Source organism: Homo sapiens, chromosome 5 (genome assembly GCF_000001405.40).
Source record: "Homo sapiens chromosome 5, GRCh38.p14 Primary Assembly".
NCBI classification, from domain to species: Eukaryota; Metazoa; Chordata; class Mammalia; order Primates; family Hominidae; genus Homo; species Homo sapiens.
The window spans coordinates 40,874,273-40,883,810 of record NC_000005.10 but is presented as its reverse complement, the minus strand read 5'-3'; the positions used below and the strand labels follow the sequence as shown (position 1 = coordinate 40,883,810).

Sequence of the window (9,538 nt, the reverse complement as noted above, 5' to 3'; positions counted from 1 at the left end):
GTTTCAGGCCAATATTTAAAACACATTACAAAGCTCTTATAATATCAGTTATTATTGCCAGCATGTTTATACCATTTTTTAAGACACTTGTTTTATTAATCTGTTTTCATGCTGCTGATAAAGACACACCAAAAACTGGGAAGAAAAAGAGGTTTAACTGGACTTACAGTTCCACATGGCAGGAGGTGAAAGGCACTTTTTCCATGGCAGCAACAAGAGAAAATGAGGAAAAAGCAACAGCAGAAACCCCTGATAAAATCGTCAGATCTTGTGAGACTTATTCACTATCACAAGAATAGCACAGGAAAGACCAACCCCCATGATTCAATTACCTCCCCTGGGTCAATCCCACAACACGTGGGAATTCTGGGAGATACAATTCAAGTTGAAATTTGGGTGTGGGCAGAGCCAAACCATATCATTCCACCCCTAGCCCTCCAAATCTCATGTACTCACGTTTCAAATCCAATCATGCCTTTCCAGCAGTTCCCCAAAGTCTTAACTCATTTCAGTATTAACCCAAAAGTCCACAGTTCAAAGTCTCTTCTGAGACAAAGCAAGTCCCTTCTGCCTAGGTGCCTGTGAAGCAAGCTAATTACTTCCTAGATACAATGGAGATACAGGTATTGGGTAAATACAGCAGTTCCAAATGGGAGAAATTGGCCAAAACAAAGGAGTTACAGGGCCCATGCAAGTCTGAAATCCAGTGGGGCAGTCAAATTTGAAAGCTCCAAAATCATCTCCTTTGACTTCAGGTCTCATATCCAGCTCACACTGATGCAAGAGGTGGGTTCCCATAGTCTTAGGCAGCTCTGCCCCTGTGGTTTTGCAGGATACAGCCTCCCTCCCAGCTGCTTTCATGGGCTGGCATTGAGTGTCTGTGGCTTTTCCAGGTGCACAGTGCAAGCTGTTGTTGGATCTAACATTCTGTGGTCTGGAGGATGGTGGCCCTCTTTTCATAGCTCTACTAGGCAGTGCCTCAGTAGGGACTCTGTGTGGGGGTTCTAACCCTACATTTCCCTTCTGCACTACCCTAGCAGAGGTTCTCCATGAGGGCCCCATCACTGCAGAAAACTTTTGCCTGGGCATCCAGGCATTTCCATACGTCTTCTAAAATCTAGGCAGAGGTTCTCAAACCTCAATTCTTGACTTCTGCGCACCCACAGGCTTAACACCACATGGAAGCTGTCTAGGCTTAGGGCTTCCACCCTCTGAAGCCACAGCCCAAGCTGTACGTTGACCCCTTTCAGCCACAGCTGGAGCAGCTGCGTCATAGGGCACCAAGTCCCGAGGCTACACACAGCATGGGGACCCTGGGCCTGGCCCACAAAACCACTTTTTCCTCCTGGGCCTCCAGGCCTGTGATTGGGAGGGACAGCTGTGAAGGTCTCTAACATGGCCTGGAGAAATTTTCCCCATGTTCTTGGGGATTAACATTAGGCTCCTTGTTACTAATGCAAATTTCTGCAGCTGGCCTGAATTTCTCCCCAGAAAATGGGTTTTTCTTTTCTATCACAGAGCCTGCAAATTTTCCAAATTTTTATGCTCTGCTTCCCTTATAAAACTGAATGCCTTGAACAACACCCAAGTCACCTCTTGAATGCTTTGCTTCTTAGAAATTTCTTCCACCAGATAGCCTAAATCATCTCTTTCAAGTTCAAAGTTGCACTAATCTCTAGGGCAGGGGCAAAATGCCACCAGTCTCTTTACTAAAACATAACAAGAGTCACCTTTGCTCCAGTTCCCAACAAGTTCCTCATCTCCATCTGAGACCACCTCAGCTTGGATTTTATTGTCCATATCACTATCAGCATTTCGGGCAAAGCCATTCAACAATTCTCTAGGAAGTTCCTAACTTTCCCACATTTTCCTGTCTTCTTCTGAGCCCTCCAACCTGTTCCAATCTCTGCCTGTTACCCACTTCCAAGGTTGCTTCCACACTTCCGGATATCTTTTCAGCCACGCCCCACTCCTAGTACCAATTTACTGTATTAGTCTGTTTTCATGCTGCTGATAAAGACATACTAGAGACTGGGAAGAAAAAGAGGTTTAATTAGACTTATAGTTCCACATGGTGGGAAGTAAAAGGCACTTCTTACATGGTGGCGACAAGAGAAAATGAGGAAAAAGCAAAAGCAGAAACCCCTGATAAAACCATCAGATCTTGTGAAACTTATTCACTATCACGAGAATAGCACAGGAAAGACCAATCCCCATGATTCAATTACCTCCCCTGGGTCAATCCCACAACACATGGGAATTCTGGGAGATATAATTCAAGTTGAGATTTGGATGGGGACACAGCAAAACCACATCACTTGCATAGAATGACATTGCATAAGCATAGTATCATCATTTTCTTAAGTATTCTGGGTTTTCCTAATCTTTTATAAACAATGTAAAATTGTACATCTTTTACATATATACATTTTTACAGACATTAAAAAGAACATACGTAAGTAGAATTCATAAAGTAAATTTTCTTGGTCAAAAGTTCCATGGTTTTGTTTGTTGTTTGTTTGTTTGAGGTGAAGTCTTGCTCTGTTGCCCAGGCTGGAGTGCAGTGGCATGATCTCAGCTCACTGCAACCTCTGCCTCCTGGGTTCAAGCAATTCTCCTGCCACAGCCTCCCAAGGAACTAGGACTGCAGGCATGAGCCACCAAACCCAGTTAATTTTTGTATTTTTAGTAGAGACGGGGTTTCACCATGTTGGCCAGGCTGGTCTCAAACTCCTGACCTCAAGTGATCCACCTGCCTCAGCCTCCCAAACTGCTGGAATTACAGGGGTGAGCCACCATGCCTGGCTTTTATTTTTATTTTTTATGAATAAAATATAATTGCTTTCCCCAAAGGCAATAATAATTTATACCCTCACATGCAGTGAATGTGCTTTTATACCCACACCTTTATTAACATTAATCTTAAAAACTGTAATTGGAAGAGGTTGAACCTAACGGCCAAAAGGTGGCTGTTGACCTGAAGATTAAGTTGTTATAAAACCCAAAGGGAGGGATTGAAACCTCCTTTGCAAAATTATGACTGAGACAGTGAAAGAGATCTAACTTAACCAACTCCATCTTGCTTCTAACCTCCAAGCTGTCCTTGTTCATTCCTGGCATAGGCTGAACTAACTTTAGGGGAAACTTTGTAGTTTGTAGTTTATAGTTTAAGCAAAGACGGTAACAGCCATTTCCCAAAGCAGATCTCCTTCTTGCCTGGGGACTAGATTGCCTTTATAGGACTAACATTGGCCACAAGATTAGAAATTATGGTTTAGGAGTCATGCAGCTGGAGGCTACAAGATTCTGACCCTCTCTAAACTGTTCCTAAGATCAGTGCTTGAGATATTTTGCAGACCCTGCACTTGATGGATCAGCTGGCACCACCCAGATCAATAAACTGGCTCAACTGATCTTGTGGCCCCCAACCAGGAACTGATTCAGCCCAAGAAGACAACTTCCACTCCCTATGATTTCACCTCTGACCAATGAGCACTCCTGGCTCACTGGCTTCCCCGCACTCACCAAGTTATCCTTAAAAACTCTGCTCCGGGCCAGGTGCGGTGGCTCACACCAGTAATCCCAGCACTTTGGGAGACCAAGACGGGCAGATTACTTGAGGTCAGAAGTTCTAGACCAGCCTGGCCAACACGGTGAAACCCGGTCTCTACTAAAAATACAAAAATTAGCTGGGAGTGGTGGTGGGCGCCTGTAAGCCCAGCTACTCAGGAGGCTGAGGCAGAGAATCGCTTGAACATGGGAGGCAAAGGTTGCAGTGAGCCGAGATAGCACTACTGCACTCCAGCCTGAGCGATAGAGCAAGACTCGGTCTCAAAAATAAAATAAAAATAAAAATAAATAAACTCTGCTCACTGAATGCTCAGGGAGACTGGTTTGAGTAATAATAAAACTCTGGTCTCCGAAAAAAAAAAAGTGGCTGTTGAATTACTAGTAAAGTTTAACTGTACACGTTTTTCTCCATCCTCTACAAACAAAAATAATAACCAACCTCTGAATACATTTAATTTTATCCTCCATATTTGATATGTATTAAGTTGAGAAGAACTCTCTCAATTCACTAAAGAAATGTTTTTACTGTCTCTGTCTTTAAAGAAAAATAATTATAAACAAAATGTAATATGTCACCACGAGATTTGAAAGAGTTGGACAGACCTGGTTTCAGATATCCGTTATTAATGTGTAAGTATTCAAAAGATCCAGAAGGTGGCAGTATAATAATGTTTTCCTAAATTTTGGACCCAGATTATCTGAAAATATATAGATTGTTCCCATTTTTATTTTCTCTTTTCTTAAAGTGATGCACGATCATAAAATGCAAAGCACTAAGGAACAAGAGGAGGAAACCTCCACACACTTACAGAAAGAGGAACCGTGAGGGGATGGAATGTGCTCAGGTAGGGAATTAGAGAACTCGCTACAAATTTCAGCTCCTTGGGCAAGTCCCTTAATCTTGAAGTCTACGTTTCCTTGTAGGTGAAATCATATGGCAATGTCCACCCACAAGACCACTGTGAAGACTAAACGAGATAAATTATTTAAATGTACGCAGCACACTGGAACATAAGAATGTAACAAGCATTCAATCAATTTTTTTTTGAGATGGAGTCTCCCTCTGTTGCCCATGCTGCAGTACAGTGGCACAATCTTGGCTCACTGCAAACTCCACCTCCCGGGTTCAAGCGATTCTCCTGCCTCAGCCTCCCAAGTAGCTGGGATTACAGGCATGCGCCACCACACCCGGCTAATTTTTGTATATTTAGTAGAGACGGGGTTTTCACCATGTTGGCCAGGCTGGTCTCAACTCCTTACCTCAAGTAATCCACCTGCCTCAGCCTCCCAAAGTGCTAGGATTACAGGCATTAGCTACCGCACCCGGCCCAATCAATATTATTTTATGCAGTTCTGTAGGGAACTACTCCAAGACTTAGAATAATATTGTTTAGGAAACAATGAAATAGAAGCCTCATACATATATAATAAAAACCTATTATGTTAAAGGCCTACATCTTGAAAAAGGGTAATAAGACACACAGGAGAATGTCCTCCCTCCTCAAGGGGTGGGGAAAGAATTACCTAAGCAGGTAACAGTGCAAGGCAGTGAAGAGAAAAAAAGGTCTCCAGCGAGTATGATGCTCTGAAAAGTCTTCACCTAAAATAAAAGGAAATAATTTGATATTTGAAGGAGAAGAGAAAAGGTATTTCAGAGGTAGGAGTGGTACAGCTCTGGGTGTGTTTGGAAGGCCATCAATGAATAATTTGACTTCTCTAGAAATTAGGTAAATAGGCAGGGCGCTGTGGCTCACACCTGTAATCCCAGCACTTTGGGAGGACGAGGCGGGCGGATCACGAGGTCACGAGATTGAGACCATCCTGGCTAACATGTGAAACCCCGTCTCTACTAAAAAATACAAAAAATTAGCTGGACGTGGTGGCAAGTGCCTGTAGTCCCAGCTACTCGGGAGGCTGAGGCACAAGAATGGCCTCAACCCGGAAGGCAGAGATCGCAGTGAGCCAAGATCACGCCACTGCACTAGAGCCCGGGCAACAGTGCGAGACTCCGTCTAAAAAAAAAAAAAGAAAGAAAGAAATTAGGTAAATAAGGTACATTAGAGTTGCATTACAGAGAGGCACAGATTAGGGCTAATAGTTACTGACTACATGCCAGTGCTTCTCAAACTTTAGGTGAACAAGTAACCTCCAGGTATCATTCACGTTGAGATTATTATTTAAATCATAATCTGGGATGTAGCCTGAGAGTTGTTAGATATGAGTTCTGAATTTCTCTTCAAAGAATCAGTATGTCAGTATGTTCAATTCTTTGCCTTCTACTTTTAAACTTAATTTCCTCGTAAAGCAATCTTTTTCGATTACCTGCTCCATCCTGATTCATTCTGATTACCTGCTCCACCATGACTCATTCTGATTACCTGCTCCACCCTGACTCACTCTGATTACCTGCTCTGCCCTGACTCATTCCCCACCCTGACTCATTCAGATTTCCACTCTGCCATAACCATTTTTCCCACCGTACCACTCACCCTGTCACTCTTTAAATTAGCCAATCGGAATTTGTTTAGCCAGTGCGGTCTAACCCTAGCCAACAGGGGAACGACACAGCAGCAGGGGCCACATGCCTCAGGAATAAGAACCCCTTCCCCTCCCTTGTCCAGCTGTGCACTCACCATTGCTCCATCTGTGAGGGTGCACCCTTCTATAGGAGTAAATTGCCTTGCTGAGAAGAAAAAAAGAAAATTTTATATTTGAGTGCCATTTATTTTGTGGCACCAAAACTTTATTTATAACAGAGTCTATGTTTCTAAAAAGCTCCCAGGTGATGTCAATGCTGCTGATCTGAGGGCCACATTTTGAGTAGTGAGACTATAAATGAAAAGACCCTAAACATTTGAACAAGTTATAAAAGAATCTGAATGTGGTGACAGTTCATCTAGAGACAAGATTCAGGTTTGATTGAAATAACGAACGTGGAGTAAAACACGATATAAATGTTTTCATGTTGGGTACTAAAGGACCCATGAAACTTATAATTTGAGATGTTGGGAGAAGAAAACTACAAGCATATAAATAAACCAAAAAAAAGGCAAATGTAGAAAGTTATATGCAGAGAATTAGCATAAGGTGATGTAATAGAGAATGACAGGGTAGATACTCTAAAGGGAGTGGTCAGGGAAATCTGAATGACAAGAAAAATGAATCTGAAATATGTTATCTGACTATTAATGACAAGGAGGAGCAGATCATGCCAAAATAGGAGCAGAAGAGCATTTTATTTTTTTTTTTTTATTTTTGAGATGGAGTTTTTGCTTGTTTGTTTGTTTTTTGAAAACAAAGCAAACTCTGTGGCCCAGGCTGGAATGCAGTGGTTCCCTCTTGGCTCACTGCAACCTCTGCCTCCCGGGTTCAAGTGATTCTCCTGCCTCAGCCTCCTGAGTAGCTGGGATTATAGGCACGGGCCACCACACCTGGCTAATTTTTGTATTTTTATTAGAGATGGGGTTTCACCACGTTGGTCAGGCTGGTCTCGAACTCCTGACCTCATGATCCACCTGCCTCAGCCTCCCAAAATGCTGGGATTACAGAGGTGGAGTTTCACTCTTGTTGTTCAGGCTGGAGTGCAGTGGCATGATCTCAGCTCACTGCAACCTCTGCCTCCCAGGTTCAAGCAATTCTCCTGCCTCAGCCTCCCGAGTAGCTGGGATTACAGGCTCGTGACACCATGCCCAGCTAATTCTGTATTTTTAGTAGAGACGGGGTTTAACTATGTTGGCCAGGCTGGTCTCGAACTCCTGACCTCAGGTGATCCACCCGCCTTGGCCTCCCAAAGTGCTGGAATTACAGGCATGTGCCACCGCAGCCAGCGGGGAGAACATTTTAGATGGAAGTCTTCTTTTGGGAAGACTGTGAATGCAATGTGGCTAGATTTTATGAATAAAGGGATGAGTGGTATGAGATGCTGCTTGGAGACACATTCAGTCCAGGTCAGGTCATGTAGTGCTTTGTTTTTGGTTTGGTGGGTGGGGGCTGGGGGCTGTTTTTTTTTTTGTTTTGTTTTTTTGTTTTGTTTTGTTTTTTGAGGCAGGGTCTTGCTCTGTCACCCAGGCTGGAATGCAGTGGTGCAATCATGACACAGCAGCCTTGACCCCCTGAGCTCAACTGATCTTCCCACCTCAGCCTCCCAAGTAGCTGGGACTACAGTCGCATGCCACCATGCCCAGCTAATTTTTTTTACTTTCTGTAGAGATGGGGTTTCGCCACGTTGCCAAGGCTTGTCTCAAACTCTTGGGCTCAAGCCATCCACCTTCCTAGGTCTCCCAAAGTGCTGGGATTATAGGCATGAGCCACTGCACCCAGCCCGTTTAGTGTTTTGCAAATTAAATTGCAGAATTTGGATTTCATTCTAAGTGCAATTAGTTGCCACTAGATAGTTTTAATCAAGAAATATATAAGTGATGTGATTTAAAACTTTTTAGAAATGATTTTGACTTGAAAATACTCATCAATCTTAACAAGACTTGTGCCGCCTGATGTCATGCAATAGGAAAAGCCCAGTACAACCTATGAGGTATTCTTTCCAAATGAATTGAACCCGGATCTTACTAAGCCTCAAGCTCTACCTACCAGTTTACAGAAAATTTGGAGGTTAGAAGAACATGTTTAACAACACTACAAGGAATCCATTAGCTAGATACAGAAAGTGGAGTATTCTACAGGATAAATAACATTTTATTTTCCAAAAACAAATGGATAAAATGGGTATACTAGTATAGTCTTACAAAACACAACAACAAAAAAAAAAAAGCTAGAGAGGCATACCAACCAAATGCAATGTGTTTAATTTAATGATAATTAAATAACAAAGCATATATTGAGAAATAATTGATCATTTTTAGGTGTAATTATTCCATACTGGTTTTACTCTTTAAAATTCATACCTGTTGGAGATATCTACTGAAACATTTATGGTTGAAATGATATATCTTGGATTTGCTTTAAAATACTTAAAAGAAAAAAAAGAAAATGTGTTATTGGGAAAATAGATAAAGATGGGGAAATTATTGATAACTTTTGGAACTGCTGTGGTAGCATAAAGAAAAGTGATATACTATTCTATTTATGTGTGTGGGGTTTTTTGTGTTTTTGTTGGTGGTAGTGGTGGTGGTAGTTGTTGGTTTTGTTTTGTTCTGTTCTGTTTTGTTTTTCTTTTTTTTTTTTTTTTTGTTTGAGATGGAGTCTCGCTCTGTCACCAGGCTGGAGTGCAGTGGCATGATCTCGTCTCACTGCAACCACCGCCTCCCAGGTTCAAGTGATTCTCTTGCCTCAGCCTCCCAAGTAGCTGGGACTACAGGCACGTGCCACCATGCGCAGCTAATTTTTGTATTTTTAGTAGAGATGGGATTTCACCATGTTAGCCAGGATGGTCTCAATCTCTTGACCTCATGATCTGCCAGCTTTGGCCTCGCAAAGTGTTGGGATTACAGGCGTGAGCCACCTCACCCAGCCTCTGTTTTGTTTTTCTAATACAGGGTCTCACTGTTGCCCTGACTGGAATGCAGTGGTGCAATCATAGCTTACAGCAGCCTCAAACTCCTAGGTTCAAGCAATCCTCCCACCTCAACCTCCCAAGTAGCTAGGACTACAGGAACATGCCACAACTTCTGGCTAATTTTTTATATTATATATATGTTTTTAAATTTCCCCGTGTATACACACATACCTCAATCTGGTTGAAATGCAGAGAATGGGTTGCAGGGAGGCAATAGTGAAAGCAGGGATGGCAGTTAGAACACTGTTGCAGTGGTCCATGTACGAAGAGCTGGTGGACTAGACTAGTGGTGGTGGTGGAGATGTTAAAGAGGTGGATGGTCTCAAAATATACTAGGGAAATTAAATTGACAAGACTTCTTGATGATTTGGGATGGGGTTGAAGTGAGTTGGAAAAGAAAGGGAAGATACACTTTCAAGATAATTTCTGAATTTTTAGCATTATTTTGACAGGTTG

General features: G+C 42.5%; 1 annotated feature.

Moving 5' to 3' along the window:
- Positions 5,347-6,546: an enhancer, noted in NCBI's record as "BRD4-independent group 4 enhancer chr5:40877367-40878566 (GRCh37/hg19 assembly coordinates)". NCBI's record gives its function as "activates an origin of replication core promoter dependent on BRD2, P300/CBP, MED14 and CDK7 cofactors, and independent of BRD4, by STARR-seq in HCT116 cells {active_cell/tissue: HCT116}" and the evidence as "EXISTENCE:reporter gene assay evidence [ECO:0000049][PMID:35650434]".